The 22,124-nt window shown below is 37.8% G+C and overlaps 1 protein-coding gene across 7 annotated transcripts in view, besides 1 other annotated feature; it reads left to right on the top strand.

Moving 5' to 3' along the window:
- Window positions 1–22,124, top strand: part of DDAH1 (dimethylarginine dimethylaminohydrolase 1) — a 259,716-nt gene that overhangs the window by 165,644 nt on the left and 71,948 nt on the right. For 2 of the 7 annotated variants that reach the window (NM_001330655.2, XM_047416630.1), the window contains exon 1: window positions 8,051–8,176. The exons of the other annotated variants lie outside the window; for them this stretch is intronic. In NM_001330655.2, the coding sequence (NP_001317584.1) occupies window positions 8,174–8,176 (3 nt within the window). In that variant the 5' untranslated portion in view covers window positions 8,051–8,173. Of the gene's footprint in view, window positions 1–8,050; window positions 8,177–22,124 lie in introns of those variants that run through there. 7 annotated transcript variants of the gene reach the window in all.
- Window positions 17,734–18,511: an enhancer, noted in NCBI's record as "NANOG-H3K27ac hESC enhancer chr1:85859729-85860506 (GRCh37/hg19 assembly coordinates)". NCBI's record gives its function as "activates a minimal SCP1, AML or CMV promoter by ChIP-STARR-seq in primed H9 embryonic stem cells {active_cell/tissue: H9 hESC(primed)}" and the evidence as "EXISTENCE:reporter gene assay evidence [ECO:0000049][PMID:30033119]".

Here is a 22,124-nt window from a genome sequence, read left to right as displayed (position 1 = left end):
ATAAAGGGGAAGTTTTGGGCCATACTACACCGATTGGTAGTAAAGAAGAGGGGAAGATGTTCTCAGTGAAAGAAATAACCGAGCAAAGGCTTAGAGCCAGTAATGACCAAGAGACTTCAGTCACAGGAAGATCGTCTTGTGTTGAGTGAAGGGGTCATTGTGGTTTGCCATGAGGGACTAGCTAGAAGAGGCAGATGAACAATTGTTAGAAGACCCTGAAAGATGAAATTCAGTGTGTTCTAACAGTAGACTGATTATTTCTGTGTTCATTTGTGTCACTTAACAAATAGCGTTAGAGCCTCTAGCATGACATAGTAGACTCCGACTCAAGAAATTCCTGTAGTCACATGGAGTTGAATTATAAAGACAGTTTATAGTAAACAAGAGACTATTGCAGGCCTTAAAACAAAACCTTTCACATGTTTTAAGTTAATTTTTTAAAAAAATATTCTTTTCTCTGCCATTGGCACTATGTCTGGAATTTGGTACATGTAGGAATTTTAAAAATCAGTCCAATGCCTCTCTTAAATTCCACAAGTACATTCTATATCAGTGGGATAATTTAGACGGAAGTTCTAATGATATCAGTGGAGAAAATTCCTGCAGGCCTTGGTAGATTGGAGGTTCTGCTTTTATTCCTTTCTATACCCTCTTCCAGCTATTGATTGACCTCCACAGTGCTGAGGCTGAGGTGTCGGCTGACCTTTCTCTGGTTTCTCAAGATTCCTCCCTTTCAGAGCAGAAGCCAGCATGATCAGAATACTTCTAAGGAATCTGCAGCAGCAGCAGTCCCCATGGGGAGCCTCAGAATCATAGTGAAACACAGCGTTTACCTTCAAATGGCTCAGCAGTTGCCATCATGGCAGCTATCAGGAACTGCAGATGTCTCTTTCATAGTCTTTATATTTAGGACCCAATAGAATTAATTGTCTGTTGTCCTGATCTATATCTAGACAGATGTATACAGGACAGCCATTTTGCTAAGAGCTAGGGAGTCTAGAAATGAAAGACAGTCCCTGCCCCCAGATGAGCTCATGCAATTTGGTGTAGAAGACAGAAGGACAGCACAGCATGGTAGTGAACACAGCATCAGTCCCCTCATCAGGGTCAAAATTTACTTTGTCAAGCAAATGAGCATCCTGATTAAGGCAGGCCTGTTACCTTTCTAATTGTTTCTCTAGTTATGTGAATTCCTCTGTTTGACCTACTTGACCTTAACACTTGTCGTTTGTTTTTTAAATATTACTCTAAGCTACTTACTGCAATTGTTCCAAATGTTTAATTTATTAATTCCAGGCAATTCATAACAATTTATTGCTATTTCTTAGACTCCTGCCTCACTGTCAACTGTTATTGGTCTGTTTCATGGATGACAGTGGTTAAATGTTTTCATATGCACTGCAGTGTTTTTTGTGATGCTGTGATAACTTGTGGGCTAGACTAAGATAGCTGGTCAGGATCCCCGCCAAGACACTCAGTCAGTGGACCTATGAAGAATATGCTTGGGTAGAGTTGGGTCTCAAGACATCATCTCAGCTCCATGGATGAACAGTGCTATCTACAACAGCCTACGAGTTCTTTGATGGTTGACTCTACCCTTTTATACTGTCTCCCTCCCTCTTTCCCACACCTGTCATCAGAATGCCTGCTTCTTATAGGTTCATATTCCACCAGAAGCAGGGGGATATTTCTCATTGGCTTGTATACTTTGGCATTCTAGCAGGGAAGCAAAGAATTATTTATGATACAAACTTAGGTAAAATTGAGAATCAAAGTATTCTTAGGACTAGGTCAAGCCAACTACTACAAAGTCATCTTTAAAAATTTATTCAAATTATGTGTTTTAAACTCAATTATACTCAGTACCTGAACCCCAGAATATTCAATGTTAACCTCATTTCCATTTTTTTTTTTTTTTTGAGGCAGAGCTTCGCTCTTATTGCAGGCTGGAGTGCAATGGTGCCATCTCGGCTCACCACAACCTCCACCTCCCAGGTTCAAGTGATTCTCCTGCCTCAGCCTCCTGAATAGCTGGGATTACAGGCATGTGCCACCATGCCCAGCTAATTTTGTATTTTTAGTAGAGATGGGGTTTCTTCATGTTGGTCAGGCTGGTCTCAAACTCCCAAACTCAGGTGATCCACCCGCCTCAGCCTCCCAAAGTGCTGGGATTACAGGCATGGGCCACCATGCCCGGCCTCATTTCCTTTTTCTCAAAAAGAGATAAACATTATTACATTTTAAGGAAATTTCTGTAGATCTATTTTTTTTCCCTTGAGAAAGGGTCTCACTCTGTTGCTGAGGCTGGAGTATAGGGGCATGATCACAGCTCACTGCAGTCTCCACCTCCCAGGCTCAGGCGATTATCCCACCTCGGCCTCCCGTGTAGCTGGGACTACAGGTGTTTGGCAGTGTGCCTGGCTAATTTTTGTATTTTTTGTAGAGATGGGGTTGTGCCATGTTGCCCAGGCTGGTCTTGAACTCCTGGGCTCAAGTGATCCTCCCGCCTCAGCCTCCCAAAGTGCTGGGATTACAGGCCTGAGCCACTGTGCTCAGCTAATCTATAATTTCATAATCTCTGTTGATATATACATAAGGAGAATTGTTATGATTACAATTGGCTTTGGATCTTCCCAATTAACTTGCAGTCCAACAACTCAAGTAGGGCTGAGGACTAGTATAGCAATGAGTTATGACTGATAACTTAAGATTTGACAAAAACTTTAGCATAGGTAGGTGCTTCACAATTGATTTTTAACTAATATGTACAATTTCTTATAAATAAAGTTGAAAACTTATATATGCATTACAAATAATGCTGAAACAGCATGAAATGCCATTATAGAGGTGAATGCAACCTGCTTTGGGAGCACAGAAGAAGTAAATCCCTGCTGTGGAAGTCAGGTAGCCCTTTACCAAAGAGGCAATGTTGAAGCCGGTGTAGAGCAACAAGCAGGAGATCCAGGTGGAAAAAGGTAAACAACGTTTTAGGCAGTATGTGAAAAAGCATAGAAGTGTGACGTAGAATCTCCACAGACCAGTAGGAAGTTTGATGTGACTAGAACTTAAAGTAACAGGAGAAAAATTGGGAAGTTAGACTGTGAATGTCAGGTTGAGATGATTACACTTTGTCCTGTATTGTCATTTAAGGGAAAATAATGAAGGTGTTTCATTTGGGCAGTGACATGATCAGATCTTTCTCTTTGGGAATATCTCTGCTGTGGATTAGCAGTTCAAGACACTAGACTCAAGAAAACCACATAGGGGTTCCTGCAATAGTTCACACCAGAAATGTGGAAAGTCTGGACCAGGGGTGTCCAATCTTTTGGCTTCCCTGGGGCACACTGGAAGAAGAAAAATTGTCTTGGGCCACACATGTAATGTACCAAGACTAACAATAGCTGGTGAGCTAAAAAAAAATCATCAAAAAAATCTCATAATGTTTTAAGAAAGTTTGTGAATTTGTGTTCGGCTGCATTCAAAGCCATCCTGGGCTGCATGTGGCATGCAGGTTGTGGGTTGGACAAGTTTGGTCTAGACTATCAGTTACTGTGGGAATGGAAAGGAGGGGTGAAGTTGGAAGGTCTTTAAGAGTTAGACTGTTACCCCCATGAGGGCAGGAACCGTGTGTGTTCTATTCAGCTTTGACCCATAAAGCTCTCTACTCCTCTGCTCCAAGTGACAAGGCCCCTTTCTGGCAAGATCCCCATCATATTCGTCTTACTACTTGGATTTTAGCATCCAGTGTAACAAGCCCATTCATTGCCTCTGGTGCTATTGGATACATATAATTGTCAAGAGTGAAGTAAGTTAAAAAAAATAGGCTAAATTTCTTCACTCATTTGTACTTTTCCATATGCTGTTTTGTTCTATATGACCATCTAGGTTATTCTGGAAGAACAGCTGTATTTTTAGTGGATGTGTATAACTTGCCCCATTTCAGAAAGTAAGCTAACACTGTGACATACTTTTTAGCAATTTTAAAAATGAAATGGATTCAAATGTACAGGTATGAAAAGATTTCCAAGAAGTACTTTTTTTGTAAAGTAAGTTATAGAACAATATGTGATAATATATTAAACAGGGAAAACATGTAAATCAAAATGATATACCTTTATGTGTTCATTTAATCATGGAAATGCTCCACAAAACAATATGAAAAGGAGTACTTCAAATTGATAAACATGGTTACCTCTGGGGTGGAGCAGAGAATTGTTCAGTTAATCCTGAATATTTTACCACAAAAAGATAAAAAAAAAAAAAGGAAGAAGGAGAAAAAGGTAAGGGGAAAGATGAGGAAGAAGAAGTAAAGCAGACAAAAGCACAGCTCTTTCAAGGCAGAACGTTCCATGCTCTATGCTTACATTTGTGAAGGGCAAAAGAAACCAGGAAGTATATCTTTGTTCACCACTGGGAAACAAGGATTTGGTTTCATGGATTATTTTTATTATAGCTGCTGAAGTTGTGAGTGATAAAGTAGTGCAATGCGTCTAATACTCAATTTTAAACTAGAATATCCATTTGTAAGCCCGGGCCTGCACTTGATTTGAATACCTATGAATGCAAGCCAACAATTTAAAATTCCACATGCGTGGTCTTCCAGTTCTAAAGCAGGAGAAATAATACTTGCCCCTAAAAAGGATGTTGAGGAGACAAATGATAGATGTAACCAAAAGAGCCGAGCTTTTTGAATTTTATATAAATATAAGCTAGGATGTCCTGGTATATATAATCTTTACATGTATGCATAAACTTAGAGACATGGGATATCTGTTACATAATGTTTACCAATTTTAAATGCACAAATTATTGTTTAGGGTAATGTTTCATAACCCTTGGGTCAATATTACCAAAAACCAACAATCAGTTCTTTCAGTTTGGGATTTCAAAAAGCCTCCTTTCAGATTTAAATTGAATAGGAAACCATTATTTTTAGTGCTTAAAAGCACGGTGGTGTCCCCTTAGAAACCTCCAATTAGTAGCAGCCATTGTCTAATTAGGTGAAAATAATAATCTATCGATTGTTATAAAAGCAAGATATTATAATTCAAGTGTGTTTCCAGATGCCAGTGAATTGCTGGAAAGCTGCAAGTTTAACTTTCCGCTCTGATAGAGTTTTAAAAGAGGTCAGGGTACATTTTACCATAGTGTCTAGCAATGTGAGTTTATTCAGACCTTTTGGCAGACATTCCTGCACACTCAAGCTAAATCAATGAATCATCCATTGTTGGCCAGCTCCGCTCTCAGTTGCTAAGAGATTTTTTCAAGCATACTGAGGCTTTATTCTACATGGTCTGTAAAAAGGGCAAACTGTATTAAATTTTAAAATGTCTCATCTTTCCTAAATTAGTAATTAAAATTTTACCCAGAACTTTAATACTGGGGCAATGGGAAAGTCTGTGTGCAGCTGGAGGCCTTTCTACTTGGGAAAATACGTGAGAAAACTTCCTGCTCATAACTCTTCAGAAATATGTGTGTGGAGGAAATGGAAACATTTAAAAAGTGGACACATGAAAAACAAAAACTCAAGGAGGAAGGTCTAAAGTCTCTTAAAGAAATATAATGTGTTTTTCTTCTTATATATTTCAAATAAAAGAGCTTTCCTTTAAATTTTATGAAATATACTCTAATTTTCCTTGTTTCTCTTTGAGTCATAAAGACCCTTGTAATATAGCATTTTATTTTAAAGCTTTAATATAATAGTTTTTAATATAAAAATTTAAAACTACCATGAAATAAAGGAATGTAATTTTTTCAGCTTGCCCTTTATGAATGTTTATAGTATATTCTGTTCTCTATATGTAATAACAGTGCTTCGTATACTCAAAAACTAAAGGAGTATATTTTTACGTGTTCTCACCACAAATAAATGATCAGTATATGAGGTAAGCCATATGCCTGATTCAGCCATTCCACAATGTATACATATTTCAAAGCATAATGCTGCATGCCATAAACATACACAATTTTTGTTAATTAAAAAATTAATTTTTTAAAAATGTATATTCTATATGTATCCTTCTTGAATATTTCAAGTTTTAAAACATAATAGTTGTTTCATTTCTTTTCTCTTTGGACTTCATGATGATTTCACATTATAGATAATCTCATAATTTATCATAGAGGTTACTATTTCATTTTGCTGAGAGGATGGGGATAATTTGGACTACAAATTTAAAAAGAGAAAGAAACCAAATGTAATGTATCTTAAAAAAATATTTTTAAGTTTATTGGATCCAGATGTAGTGATGAGGAAAGCTTCTCTTCTGTGTTTCTTAGTTTCTCAAGATAAAATTCTATTTCATAAATCTCTATGAGGACTGTATCAAATATTCTAAAAGAAGCTTTTGAGATAGAACGTGGCTTTTGGAATTGGACAGGCCTGGTTGCTCCATGTTCTAGACAGTGTGGCCTTGAACAAATTACTCCTCATCTTTGGGCTCCAACTTTCACATTTATAAAGTAAACATAATAATGCACACCACCATGGGTGGTTATGGAATTCAAATGAGGAAACATGGTAGGTAGCCCTGGCACATAGTGGGTCCTGGATAAATGTCAGTTCTTAGCTTCTTTAAAACTGTTGGAGGCTAATATCCGTGTGCTCTTAAATACAACCAAACCTCTTTAAGTTGGCAACATAAGTGTTAGGTTTTACTTCTAATTTCAAAAGAAACGTATTCGAGTGAGTGGCTGAGAGCATTCATTACATGAGGGCAGCTTGGAATAAGAGAACGGGATAGTCTTGCACCTTGGCATTCTTTCTTGCAGAGAAACAAAACATTTGTGATTCTTGGGTTCTTGTCTCCCCTCTCTGAGGCTCTCTCTTTTTCATAGAGGATTCCACCTTCTCTCAAGACTTGTATTCCAACATGCTATCTCCAGTTTACTATTCACTGCTATAAAGTAGGGCTTTTTTTTTTAGGGCACTTTTTAGATCCAGCCAAGGACCAAGTCTTTCCCAGCCAAATGCGGAGCAGGGAATGGACCATGCCTTGATACAGCCCCTGCTCCTGTTGATCCAGACCACGACTTTTTAAGACTTTAAGCTTACAGAAAAAATAAGGTGTGACCTCCATTTACATGCTTAAGCGTCCTGACACCTGTGTTTATTTAAAGGAACCATCTCCGTGTCTGTACTCACAGCCTGATGATGCATGCCGTCTATAGAACTACATACAGTGTTTTTTACAGTTAAGTTTTTTAATAGCAGGGAAAAACAAGATCTTTTCCTCAGATGCTTGACTATTTCCCTCTGTAATCTTAGGTATAGTTTCAACCCTATTTCTTTTCGGTAATATTTGTTATATTAGATGTTGGAGGCCAATATCAGCTAATAAATAGACCCATGTGGCCAATTTATTGAATTAAACTGAAGAGAATTGCTAGCATGTCTGCTGTTAGGATACAGTAGTATGAAGTGGCAGCTACATAAAACTGATTACTCTGGTGGCCCCTGCATAAAGGGAGAAGGCCTCATACAACTCAACAGTGATATCAGCAAAATAACATGTCTATCCTTGTCAAGAGAGAAAACAGGGTTGAAAATGACAGAATGAAGATGTAATACTCAGGCTTTCTAGGGCGGATTGTAGAGTCTGGCAAAAATGAAGCAAAACAAAACCCAAAGGAAAGAAGTTTAGATTTAATGCCTAAAGAAATGGCGTTCCCTCAAAGAAAGTCCACATGAACTGACTTAAGTTGCAGTGATGGGTCAGTGAGAACAGTACATATAGCAACTCCTGTGGCCTTCTGTTAGAGCTTCACCTTACAATTGTAATTTTTATATAACTCAACTTGAGAGAGAGAGAGAAAGACAGAGAATTTCCCTCACTTTCTGAATCATGGCTCAGAAGTGTGTTATAAAACACCAAGAACGGAAAAGCTATTACGTGGAATTTAAAGAAATACTTGAGTCTACAGTATCATTGAACTCTTGGATTCGGTTTCAGCAGACATGCTCTGTATTCCCACAAGAGTCTGGAAAATGAACTCCTATTTTTTTTTCTGTCTGGAGCTGCAGTTAGTGTTATTATTTGCTCCATGGCTCAATCCGGGTCAGACTGTTCTTCAGTAACACAGGTGGATGTTAAAACAGGGAATCTGTTGAAAAGATTGCGGAGGAACTGCTTCCCAAAAGCAGTTCTGGATGGCAATTTGATGGCAGTCAGCTATGGTAAGGACAAATGAAGCTTAGCAGTACCTTCTAGAATGTGGTCTTTCAGGCTTTGTCAACTGCAATCCTACAGGCAGAAGTTTCATGTATAATGGGTCAATATGAACTGGTGGCATCTTCTAAGAAGTGGATTCTAGAAATGGAGGTCATTAAATGCTCAATACTTGCGAATTGTAATGTTGATCTGCATTTTTCTGTTTAGCTTTATTTGTGAAATATAATATGTAGTTCTTAAAGAAAAATTCCATAAGCCTTTTTTTTCTTTCGTATGGGCTTAAAAATATTTTAGAAACTTGTTAAAAACTAGTTATAGAAATATTCATTATCCTACTAAAAGTGGCAGGAGGAATATAGTTGTGATTTAAGATATAGAAATTGTTTTGTACTAATGTGTTTATTGTCAGCAATTACATTGTTAAAATGTAACAAGTAAATTTTGCCAAGAGTACAACATGTATCCATTTGTAAGTAAGCACACAGGGAAAACAATATTTTAAATGTTCTACCCATTGAATTATTTTTCTAGTAAACAACTTGACATAAAATAGACTGAAACATCCGTTTATTTTAACAACTATGTTAAATTACAGATTAATGGTCCAAAATAAAATTTGAACTGATTTAATACATAATTCAGTTTTGGGGGAAAATAGATCTTTCTCCAACTGAGAATAGACTATATATTTTTTCTTTTGTGAATAACTTATTTTACCCTTAATAAGTTTAGGACTTGCCTGAACCACAGCCAGCCTTAAGAATCCTTTGTTCAGAAATGTTCAGCGTTATATTGACTAAGGAGCAATTTGGGGGTTGAAAAATAGATCACTATTTCAGTTTCTGACTTTAGACTATTTTTAAAGTAAAGTGCTGAGAGTTCCAATTGAAAAATTGCAAATGCTCCAGGACACTGTGCCTGGAAATAAGATTCCTGAAGAGTAGAGCCTAGGGATGTTTAGGCAACCCTTACAGAAACAAGCCTTCAAGTACATTTTAAGTACAGTGTGTCTCGCACGTTTTGAATTATTCTTTTCAGATTTTTTTTTCTTTGGATATAACTATTCTGTTTTACTTTACATACATATATATACATACACATATATGTATATGTATATATGTGTACATGCATGTGTGTGTGTATATATACACACATATATATTCACATACATATTCATATATATATTCATATATATATAGGTATATGTATATATGTGGTAAATCTAGGAGTTTACATATCCAAGGGAAAATTTCCCTCAAACTTGTGATTGTTACTCACCAGATCAAACATTAGCAGTCCCTAAGGGACAGTCCCAGTCCACAGCCAACACACACAGATCCCTTCTTATCACTTGGAACAGACACTCCTCCATGGGTACATACCCAGCATGCTTAAGAAAACAGGTATCTGTGGAGGTTAAACTAATATTTTTGGAGCAAAAAATGAGAATTGTCAGAAGTTTTTTTTTTTTTTTTTTGAGATGGAGTCTCGCTCTGTCACCCAGGCTGGAGTGCAGTGGCGCTATCTCGGCTCACTGCAAGCTCTGCCTCCCGGGTTCACGCCATTCTCCTGTCTCAGCCTCCCAAGTAGCTGGAACTACAGGTGCCCACCACCGTGTCTGGCTAATTTTTTGTATTTTTAGTAGAGACGGGGTTTCACCATGTTGGCCAGGATCATCTCGATCTCCTGACCTCGTGATCCACCGCCTCGGCCTCCCAAAGTGCTGGGATTACAGGCGTGAACCACCGCGTCCGGCCAGAAGATTTTTATTAATTGTGTTTTCTAGAAATGTAATCTTAGTTCAGCTATATTTACCAGAAAAATATACAAAGCATTTTTATATCTTAGTATTTGTAACTGAAATTATACATTTCTGAAGAAAATATCAAATCTGAGATAAAAACAGCATGGTAAATTAATTTGTACTGAAAATATTTTTGAAAATATTTTGTCTATAAGAATAGTTTGACAAGTAGCCTTATTTGCTATAGTTGAAAGACTCTGCTTGAAGAAAAGCATTCACACTTAGACCCTGGCTAGAAGAAAGAAATTGGAGGCAGATTTTTTAAAAGACTGTACTTTCAGGCCTGGGCACAGTGGCTCACACCTGTAATCCCAGCACTTTCAGAGGCCAAGGCAGGAGGATCACTGAGGCTAAAAGTTCAAGATAAGCCTGGGCTACGTAGTGAGACCCTGTCTGTACCAAAAAAAAAAAAAAAAAAAATAGAAGTATTAGCTGGGAGTGGTGGTTGCGTACCTGTAGTCTTAGCCATTTGAGGGGCTGAGGCAGGAGGATTGCTTGAGCCCAAGAGTTTGAGGCTGTAGTGAGCTGTGATTGCAGCACTGCACTCTAGCCTGGGTGACATAGCAAGACCCTGTCTCTAAAAAAATTAATTAAAGTAAAATAAAATACATTGCCTTCAGAACACATTAAAAAGGAACAAGATGCAAAATAGTTTTGAAAATGTTTTCTTTTAAGTAAGATAGTAATTGTGCTTCTTTTTAAAACAAAATTACATATAACTGAAAATCTAATTCTACAGTTCAATAATAGGAATTTTAAGAGCTCAAAAGCTGCTTCTTAGTCAGGTGCAGTGGCTCATGTCTATAATCCCAGCACTTTGGGAGGCCGAGGTGGGTGGATCACTTGAGTGCAGGAGTTTGAGACCAGCCTGGACAACGTGGTGAAACCCCATCTCTACAAAAAAATCGTTAAAAATTAGCTGGGCATGGTAGTGTGCGCCTGTAGTCCCAGCTACTTGGGAGGCTGAGATGGGAGGATTGCTTGGGCCCAGGAGATCAAGGTGACAGTGAACCTTGGTCATGCGACTGTACTCCAGCATGGGCAATAGAGTGAAACCCTCCTCAAAAAAAAAAAAAAAAAGAAAGAAAAAAGAAAAAAGAAAAGCTGCGTCTCTTAAAATCCAAGGTAAAATTATATTTCATCCTCATTACAACTCTTTTTCCTAAAAGTAAATATAAACCATGCTCTTCTTTATGTGCTATTTAGCCTATCTTTATCTGATGTATTTAGTCATTCTCTACTGCTCCAAGGAAGTGAATAAATCCAGGTAAAAAGAAGATACCAATAATGAAAGATTTCACTTTTCATGAATGTTTTCATAGTAGGCCCTCTTCATTTTAGGACTGTAACCTGTTGGAAAAAAGGATCGATTCCTGTAATTGTATTGCTAGACTGTGTCAAGGCAGTGTATTATGAAAGCTACATTTGAGCAGCACGAAGATCGCCTTTTAATGATGAGAGATAGTGTTAGTCTGCTGTACTCAAAAGTGTTCACTCTTTAGCCCAATGTTCTCGTATTATATAAAGCTTTAGAAACCCTGGACATTTGCCTACAATGTCTTTGAAGAAGGCAATCACATTGTGGGCATGGATCATATCTCTCTGCTTACATTTTTATGGTTTTCATTTATGTACCATTGTACTGCAGAAGGGATAGAAGGCAGCTTGGAAGGATATATATAATAAAGGTAGAACCAATCAAAAGATGGATATAGGAATAAGATAAAATGATTACCATTAGGTGGCCAGGAACACAATGTATGGTCTACACACTGTTACAGATGGGTCACAAATTCCACTGAAAGCTTTCTAACCACCAGCATAAAGAAGTGAACCTGGTGGGTATTTTAGTCTATGAGGGCCTAAAGATACAGGCAGGTCAGATTCTGAGAAGTGAAAATGTGATTACTACTAAGCTCAGAGAAAAATTTCTTCCTGGGGATCCCATGTGGACAGTGCGTAATGATATAAATAGCATCATCTACCACATTTTTACCAGTAGGTACAGTTCAGTTAATTCAATATTATAGAAAGTAAACTCTCTAATTAGATGTACATTTTAGAATTTCTGCAAGAGTAGGCCAGGCACAGTGGCTCAAGTCGTAATCCCAGCACTTTGGGAAGCCCAGGTAGGCAGATCACCCGAGATCAGGAAGTCAAGACCAGCTTGGCCAACAGGGCAAAACCCTCTCTCTACTAAAAATACAAAAAACAACAACAAAAAAAGCTGGGCATAGTGGCACACACCTGTAATCCCAGCTACTCAGGAGATTGAGGCAGGAGAATTGCTTGAACTCAGGAGGTGGAGGTTGCAGTGAGTCGAGATTGCACCACTGTACTTCCAGCCTGGGCAACAGATTGAGACTCCGTCTCAAAAAAAAAAAAAAAAAAAAAAAAAAAAAAAGAAAAGAAAAGAAAGGAATTCCTGCAAGAGTAGACTATGTGTCCTTCAGGCATTCCTCCCTGATTGTTTTTGATAAATAATGCCAGTGAGCTCAAGGTTTTTTTGCTAAACAATTGGCTGGGATGCAGCAAAACAAGGCCAAGATTCTCCAAAGAAAAAAATATTTGAGTCCACTTGGGCATTTCAAGAACAAAATTACAATAGATTTAGTTTTAAAGATCACGGTTGGCTTTATTGCAATTCTAGAATCAGGCAACATTTTATGCCATAAAATACAATAAATTTGCCAGTGAGTTGAACAGAAGGGGTTGGTTTTATAGACAGAAAGGGCTAAGGAAAGCAAAAATGAAGAACAAAAAACAGATTGATTATTTCAAAGTTACTTTCCTTGAAAGGCAGGGACAGGGAGGCAGAAAAATAGAAAGATTGGTTAGCATCAGGTTACTTTTAAGGATTAAAACAGAGGAAACTATTATCCTACTGATTGAAGATTGAAATTGGCCTATTTGGGAAATTGGCTGCTATCTCTCTCTCCTGCTTTCTTGGAATGTTATATAACAACTTAGTTTCAGTTTGGTGATGTGGAACTTCAGCATGGATAACTCCATTTTGATTTTTAGTCAAATCTGTTGGGGCCTAATGCAGGAGCTGTGGGGCCTAGTGCAGAAGCTTAGTCCAAAACAATGGCCTCCTATATTTTGTATTTAACAATTTTCCCCTTTCAGTCATGCTTTCACCTGGGTGAGTGCATGACCAAAACTAAGGGCATTAATGCTACTCTTATTATCATGCTGGGTTTCTGGTCTCTACAAGTCATTCATAGGTTATGGTGTACTCATCATCATGCATTTATTTGAGTTTTTGTCATTCCAGCAGAAAAGAGACTCTTTGGTGTTTGATGAATGGCTGTGTGCAACCTTTAAAACTTTTCGAGAGGATATAGTGTACCAGAGAAACTACTATTATGACTATCAAAAGGATAATGCCAGGAGTTTGGAGTATGCTCCTTTATCTAGGATCCCCATAAACTAAACCAACTGAAATTAAATAGATCAAAGAATGAGCCAGGCCGGATACTCATTATATCTATGGGTAACAAGAAGTATTAGCAATTGCACAGATTTCTCCCTATTCATTTAGTCGGTAGCAATTCTATCATATAGCATTCCAGGAATGGGTTAAATTAAAACAGACAGTACTAACTCTATAAAAGAGATCACTAGTACAATTTGAACAAACAGTTGCATTAGGGATATTAGGGATGTTGCTGAAGTTACCCACTAGGTGGACTAAAGGATCTCAGGTTTTTTAAAGATTCAGATTTGACATAACAGATTCAACATGCTGTCAGATTACTCACAAAAACTAAGGATTGTGAAACTTTAACCATAGCCTTATTCTGCCAAGCGAAAGAAGTAGGCATAAGCAAGGAAAAATTAAGAGGGGTAAGAATATCATAAGAAGTCTTCGTCTGATGGCCTTGGGAAAAGCTGTCCACGGCATGCAGTTAGCAAATTCTCAACCTGGTTTGCAGTTTGAATGTCCCTGGTTGTGGCGTTAGATATTCTGGTGAACTCTCTGTATGGCACGCACATCACACATGAGACTTGTCCCTTGAAATTTCTATCAAGTTGTCCAGCTTAGCATTTTTGCTCTTAGTTGAAGAGTTGAAGCTAGATACTGGAGGTAGTGCACTAAAAGAATTCAGGATCCAGTCCAGTCTAGGGAAAAAGTGAACAAGGCTGCAATCTACTAAAAGGTGTACTATAGTTTTTCTTTTGCAACATAATTTTTCTGTCTATAATCACCCCCATTTCTACCAAAGATAATCAGAGTAAGACTAATTTGTTTGCAAAATAAGTTTCGTCTCATTAAACTTCACCTGATTATTTGTATATAAGTACAGCAAGAATAACCACACAGTTCTTTTTAAATTTGATTTGCTGGAAATTTTGACAAACAATCTCAGATTATACTTTTAAAAACCTCTCATCACTAGGAAGCCAAACCAAGGCCGACATCAGACTTTGTCTACTTTGTCTATGGTTATCTAGTGTCTTGAGGTTCCTAGGCCTGCCAGGAAGTGACAACTTTTTACTCACTCACTGTAATGCTGTGTGTAAGTCCACTTTGTGTTGCTATAAAGGAATATGTGAGACTGGGTAATTTATGAAAAAAAAAAAAAAAGAGGTTTATTTGGCTTACAGCTCTGCAGGCTATATAAGAAGCATGGCACCAGCATCTCCTCAACTTCCGGTGAGGGGCTCAGAAAGCTTTTACTTATGGTAGGAGGCTAGGGGAGTCAGTAGAGTCACATAGCGAGAGAGGCCTCCCACCAGGCCCTACCTTCAACACTGGGGATCAGATTTCAGCATGAGATTTAGAGGGGATAAACATCCAAACTGTATCACACTGGGAATCCTTGAAGCGAGGCATTCTATTAATTCTCAAATATTACATTTCAGTCAAAGCCTTGGCAATTAAACCAGTGTTTCCAATTGTATTGTGTAATACAGAGAGCAAATTCTTATTGAGCTTATGAAAATAATCATATTAAGGAGAAAGATGGAATGTTTCAATTTTTGTTTATAAAAGTGTACTCTACCAAACCATTGTGAGCTAGAGATAGCTTTAAAAAATCGTTTTCTTAAATCTGGAAAATAAAACATTAAGAGAACCAGCAATGTTTTAAATAAAAAAGCAATAAAAACCCTTACTTTTTCCTTATCAGTTTTTCAGTCTAATGTAATTAATTCTTGCTCTGTTTGATCTTAGTTGATAGTTTCACTAAACTACCAGTTTCTTTCTTAGAGTTCTACAAATTCTTACCCAATCCAGTGCTATCTCAAAGTTGTCACAAACCTGTACTTGTCAGAATTTTTTCCATTCTTTCCATGAACTTCTTTGAAGATTATGGTTCTTGCAAAAAGCTTTCAGAACAGCATCAGAATAAAGCAATTAACTGAGGACAATAAGACTTAAAATAGCCATCATTGAAAACCTGATGAGAGTCTATAATGATGCAGCTGACAAAGAAATTGTGTTATTTCTGTGGCATACAACATTTTAACATAATAACCAAAATTATGATTGATTTCTAGAAATTTAATGCAATTTTGAAAAACCTTTTTTTTTTTTTTTAAGACAGGGTCTCACACTATCACCCAGCCTGGAGTGCAGTGATGTGATCATGGCTCACTGCAGCCTCTGCCTCCTGGGCTCAGGCGATCCTCCCACCTCTCAGCCTCCCGAGTAGCTAGGACTACACCTGTGTGCCACCATGCCTGGTTATTCTTTGTATTTCTTATAGCAATAGGGTTTTACCATGTTGCCCAGGGTGGTCTTGAACTCCCGGACTCAAGCAATCTGCCCACTTCAGCCTCCCAAAGTGCAGGAATTGCAGGTGTGAGCCACCACACCTGGCCTGAATAAATATTTTAATATCGTATCTATACAAATGTAAGGAAAAGACGGTTAAACGTTATCTCTTATTGACAATATTTCCTATATAATTTAACATATCAAATAAACCTAATTGGTTTAATATCTCTCTTTTGGACTTCCAGGTGGCTGTGGTTTGGATGTTTGTCCCCCAAATCTCATGTTGAAATTTGATCCCCAATGCTGGAGGTGGGGCTTAATGGGAGGTGTTTGGGTCATGGGGATGGATCCCTCGTGAATGGCTTGGTGTCTTCTTTGCGATGAGTGAGTTTCCATTCTATTAGTTCCTGTGAGAGCTGGTTGTTTAAAAGAGCCTGTCACCTCCCCACTCCTCTCTTGCTCCCTCTGTGGCCATGTGATCTCTGTACTGTGACTCCCTTTTGCTTTCTGCCATAAGTGGAAGCTTCCTGAGGCTTTTGTCAGATGCCCAGTCTTCCAGCCAGGAAAACTGTGAGTCAAGTAAACCTCTTTTCTTCATAAATTATCCAGCCTTAGGTATTCCTTTATAGCAGCTCTAAAGGGACTAAGACAAGGAGACTTAGAATTTCATTTTGGGAAGTTTGTCAAAAAGATTCAAACACTTGATCAAAAATAGGATCACATTTTTGATCAAGTGTTTGAATATAATACTCATTTAGCCACAATGATAATTAAAATACTTCAAAAGAAGTTACATAGCTGTAGAAAATCTTAACTCTTATAATAAAGAGGAGACTCAGTTTTCCTAAGTAATTAATGACCTAAGAAAGAAAACATGAAGCACAGAAATTATTTTGACAAAATACAGAATCTTTCTTTTCTAGGCCACATACCTAAAAAGTCTCACAATTTTTTTAATAAGAAAAGATCAGTACATGTCAAGAAAACCTTGTTTTAAAATTTTAAAAATAAAGCTTAATTTTTAGAAAAACCTAAAAACAATTCTTTTTTAATTTTAGCCAACTTGATCACACTCAAAATTCCTTTCATAAGATTCATCTTCCATAAATCTTCTAAAACTTGCAAAGACCTCGTGCAGCTTGCTCAAACCTTCACTTCTTTTTCTTTTTTCTTTTTTTTTTTTTGAGATGGAGTCTCACTCTTGTTGCCTAGGCTGGAGTGCAATGGTGCGATCTCAGCTCACCGCAATCTCTGCCTCCCAGGTTCAAGCGATTCTCCTCCTTCAGCCTTCCAAGTAGCTGAGATTACAGGCATGCACCACCACGCCCAGCTGATTTTGTATTTTTAGTAGAGACAGGGTTTCTCCATGTTGGTCAGGCTGGTCTTGAACTCCCTCCCTCAGGTGATCCACCCACCTTGGCCTCCCAAAGTGCTGGGACTACAGGCATGAGCCACTGCGCCCAATCTCCTCGTTTTCATATTGAAACAACCAGTCATTCTACCTTAGGGCAAAAATTTACTTTTCTTTTTCCCTCATCTTTCTGACCACACAGAATTGTCATTCAAAAAAATTAGTCTGTTTTCAACTTTCTTTACCAAAAATATATTCTCAGACTTACAACTTTTTTGTATCTCTTTTTCCTACTTAATAGTTCCTTCCTGCCTTGTTTCCATTTTCTCCATAAATCTTTATTGTGAAAAGCCTTTAACCTTTGAATTAGCTGAAATAACTCTTTTCTACAAAAATATATTCTCATGACTTTTTATAATTTTTTTCACCCAAAACACATTTTACTTTCTCTTGGTATACTTTGCATATAGAATTACATATATTAATTAGAATTTTTAACTTTTAGTAACCTTAATTTCTAGTGAAACCTAGGAAGTAAGCAATTTTGAACTATCATATGCCAACGTTTTATAACAACACAAGATGACAAAGTATCTATACTTTAATCATTTTTAGCAATTAATGGGTCAGTATTCTAACTTACTTGGAAATGGCTGACATTTCAGGAATGTTACTTAATCATATGACTTTAAGATTATGTTACTTTGAGATTTTTGAAACTATGAAGAGTTTATTTAAAACCTTTAACTCATTTACTTTCACCTAATTTACTTGTTCTTAAAAATTATGCTTCAATTGGTCGTTAAACAAAGCTGGCCACTATCTCAAGTTATTTCCTTGTTAACCATTTTTACAGTATGCCAATGTTAGTTGCTACCTAAACAAGAGCCCTAAAGTTAAATATGAGGTTATTTTGTTGGTCAGAAGACACACTGTTTTATTGAACTAGCCTTATTTACCAAAGATTTACCTGTCACATGAACTGAAAGGTATTTGAGTTAGTCTCTTAGCCTGTTTTCTTTTGCTATAACAAAATACCAAAGACTTGGTAATTTGTAAAGAAAAGTGGTTTATTTAGCTCATTATTCTAGAGGCTGGAAAGTCCAAGACGGGGCAGCCCATCTGGTCAGCTTCTGGTGAGTGTCTCATGTTGCATCATAACATGGTGGAGAAACAGAAGGGAAAGCAGGCATGGAAAGGGGATAAAACACAGGCGTGACCTCACCTTATAACAACCTGTTTTCCTTTGAGAACTAATCCAGTCTTGTGGAATTAACCTAGTCTCATGAGAAAGACATTAATCTATGTGATTGACCTAATCATCTCTTAAAGACTTTACCTCCCCACATTGTTATATTGGCAGTTAAATTTCAACACGAATTTTGGTGCAGACACACAGCAAACCATAGCATTTAGTGCAGTTTTTCTGATGAAATATTATATTTTGTCACTTACTTTTTCTTTAAGCCAATTAATTAAAGCTTTTTCATATATTTTGGTAGCAAAATATCACATACATATAACACATGTAGACATACAGACACACAGCCAGAAGCAGATCTTAGAGCTTTTATAAGATTCTCTATTTGCCAGTTTTTCAATAGTTTCTCTTTCTTCTTTAGATTATCAATCTCCTGATTACCTGTTCTGCTGTTTTAAATTATTGTTAGCTAGGCAACCCTAAATTTGTCATTCCAAAGACATGACTCTTAGGTGAGACAATGTAGAAAATTTACATCTCAAAGCACACAACTGAGATCTAAACACCATTATTTGCTGAGACAAGGGCAAAGATTAAGACCCCATAAGACAAGATGGGCAGGAAAAGTACTATAAACACAGTTAAGGTTTGTTATGTGAATTTTAAGCCAATGTCTTTCTCACTGTAAAAATTTCTAATGGTTTTAGGTGCAAAGAAAGAGAAGCCCTTAGAAATGGAGATTTTCTTCATAGATGTAAATTTCTTTTACAAGGGGTTTTTAAATAGCCAGCTAAATGTTAGAAAGTTGTATTTTAGAGACCAATTTAGTACAATAGGTGGTCATTTTAGATTGTTTATTAATTGGATCACTGTCTTCAGGGTAGAGCCCTCTAATGAATAGGACAAAGAAGGCATTTTCTTTGCCTGGACTCATGGATAGAACTGGATTTGATATTCCTCACAACTGAAATTTTGTTTTTTATTTTGAGGGAGAGACTGTCCCCACAAGTGGAGTTTAAACTGTGTGACTTATGCCTCAGTCTCCTGATCTGTACACTAGAGGTAATAATATCTCCTTCAGAGGGGTATTTTAAGAAGTAAAGATGATACATAGTGTACAGAACAATGCTATAAGTATTAGTTGTTGATGTTGTTATTGCTATTAAGGAGTGTCTTGTGCAAAATAAATATTTCGTTTGAGGGAATAAAACAATTAAAAGAATGGGCAACTGAATTATTGTTATAGAGCAAAATGACCTAGGAGAGACCAAATACTAGGAATCAGCCATGTATGTCAGATGCTTAGAGTGTCCATGTCAAAGACCTTTGGAAACTGCAGGACTTTTATTCTTACATCAGTCCCCATGAAGTCAGGATCTGTGAAGGGTCTGAGATTTTACTTCCTTTCCTTGTAGTTGCATCGTAGTTGACCCACCTCAAAATGGGAAGTGTCAGGCCTGAGAGTCATCAGGGGTTCATTTTCTTTCTTTTTTTTTTTTTTTTTTTTTTTTTTTAGACAGAGTCTTGCTCTGTTGCCAGGCTGGAGTGCAGTGGCGCGATCTCGGCTCACTGCAACCTCTGACTCCCTGGTTCAAGCCGTTCTCCTGCCTCAGCCTCCCGAGTAGCTGGGATTACAGGCACATGCCACCACGCCCAGCTAATTTTTGTATTTTTAGTACAGACAGGGTTTCACTATGTTGGCCAGACTGGTCTCGAACTCCTGACCTCGTGATCCGCCCGCCTCAGCCTCCCAAAGCACTGGGATTACAGGTGTGAGCCATCACACCCAGCCCACGGGTTCATTTTCTAACAAGAGCTCAGCAGCACTTATGTTATGAGTTGAATTGATACCCTCTCAGAATTCGTATGTTGAAGTCCTAACCCCTAGTACCTCAGAATGTGATCTTATCTGGAGATAGAGTCTTCACAGTGGTAATCAAATTAAAATGAGGTAATTAGAGTAGGCCCTAATTCAGTATAACTGTGGCTTTATAAGAAGAGGAAATTTGGACCTATAGACATGCATACCAAGATAATACAATGTGAATATGAAGACAGCTATCTATAAGCCAAGGAACGAGGCCTAGAACAGATGCTTTCCTCATAGCCTTAGCAAGGAACCAACCCTGCAGATACCTTGATTTCAAGTTGCTAGGCTCCAGAACTGAGACAATACATTTTTGTTGCTTAAGCCAAAAACAAAAACAAAAATGGAGTTTAATGTAGAATCTCAGAAATCACCACTAAAGAACTTATTCATGTAACCAAACACCACCTGTTCCCCAAAACCTATTGAAAAAAAAATTAAAAAAAATAAATAGATAAAGTAGAAATCACAGTTCTGGTGTCTACCTACAGGATAACAACTGGAGCTTCCCCCAAAGGCCTGTCAATCCTGGTGGTCAATGTGGAGTTTATCAGAGGGTAGACAGCCTGTTTATAATGTTTTCCCTGGAAATATTTGGGGCAGTCTCTTTTCCAATGTCCTGCTTGTTTGCACCAATACCAACAGTTTTTTGGAAACTGTTTTTTCAGCCATTTATTAAAGAAATGCCCCAGAGCAGGCCAAAAGGCCAGCCTAGGTTGTTGTTTGCCATCCAACTGAAACACTTTGGTAATGGCTTTCAAAAAGTTATTTGCAGTTTTTCCCTGCTTTCCATAATGGACCAGGCAGGGCTTGTCAGGTAATACCATTCTGCATCTTTCACCCATTTTGGGGCTTCTCTAATTCTCACCAATATGTGTATTAGTTGGTTGAGCTCAGATATCCTGGGGTTATAAGTTTCAGTGAAGACCCTAAATTTTTCCTACATTTTTCTATATTTATTTATTTATTTAGAGATGGGGTCTCACTCTGTCGCCCAGGCTGGAGTGCAGTGACATAATCGTAACTCACTGCAGCCTCAAACTCCTGGGCTGAAGTGATCCTCCCACCTCAGCCTCCCAAGTAGCTGGGGTTATAGGCATGTGCCACTACACCTGGCTTCTCTTCAGAAAATATTTGGAGGTCTTCTGTAGGTTTAGGAACTTTTTAAACTATGGCCCTTGGCTCTGTTTTTGTCCGAAGAGTATAAGTCACTCAGGGATTACTTCCTGAATTTGGGGTGGTTTTTCTTATAAAGAAAGCATTTAATTGTGTTTTCAGAAAAGGAAGGCATTTAAGACAGAGGGGAGCAGAATAAGTCAGGTTAATATTACTGTCCTTCGTATGGATGATATCTCACATTTGTAACTTTTTATTAGCTCTTTGCAATGAATTTTTTTAAAAAGCAATTTTAGAATCCTGTTGTCTGCTTGAGGCTTCTGAATGCCAATTAGAATAACAATTCCATTCTCTCTGCCTAATTATAGAAACTTGGGATTCAAGTACAGTTATATGAATGGTCTTGTTCATCTGGAACATTCTGCATAGTAGCCATTATAATTCTATATTATCTGTAGTAAGATTTGATATTTGCAGCTTCCTGAGCCATAATTCTGTACGTGAAAAAGGCAGGCATACTGGAAGGCAGAGTTGTCAGATGTTTAGAAATTAAGGATCCCATTTTTATGTTGGATTTTGGGTCTCTCAGAGCTAGGATGGCTTTGGCTCTAAGATCTCAGTGCTCAAGAAGAGAACAAATAAAGAGGCCCCTGCAGTAATAACCACTTACTGTGACTACCGTCTAAGAAGCTGGCACTGTGGTATGGGGGTGGGTGTGGCAACCCCATGCCCTCTTTGGGTACCTTACATCCCAGCATATCCATGTGTTCCCCAACCCCAAAGCTTATCAAATCTTGTTATTCAGAAGTTTTTATGGAGTCTAATCTCCAGTCCTTCCCCCTTCCCTTTCCTGGAGGTCAGTAGGTGACATGGTTTGGCTGTGTCCCTA

This window comes from Homo sapiens, chromosome 1 (assembly GCF_000001405.40).
Source record: "Homo sapiens chromosome 1, GRCh38.p14 Primary Assembly".
NCBI classification, from domain to species: Eukaryota; Metazoa; Chordata; class Mammalia; order Primates; family Hominidae; genus Homo; species Homo sapiens.
The sequence above is the reverse complement of the archived record's forward strand: the minus strand, read 5'-3'. Positions and strand labels throughout refer to the sequence as shown.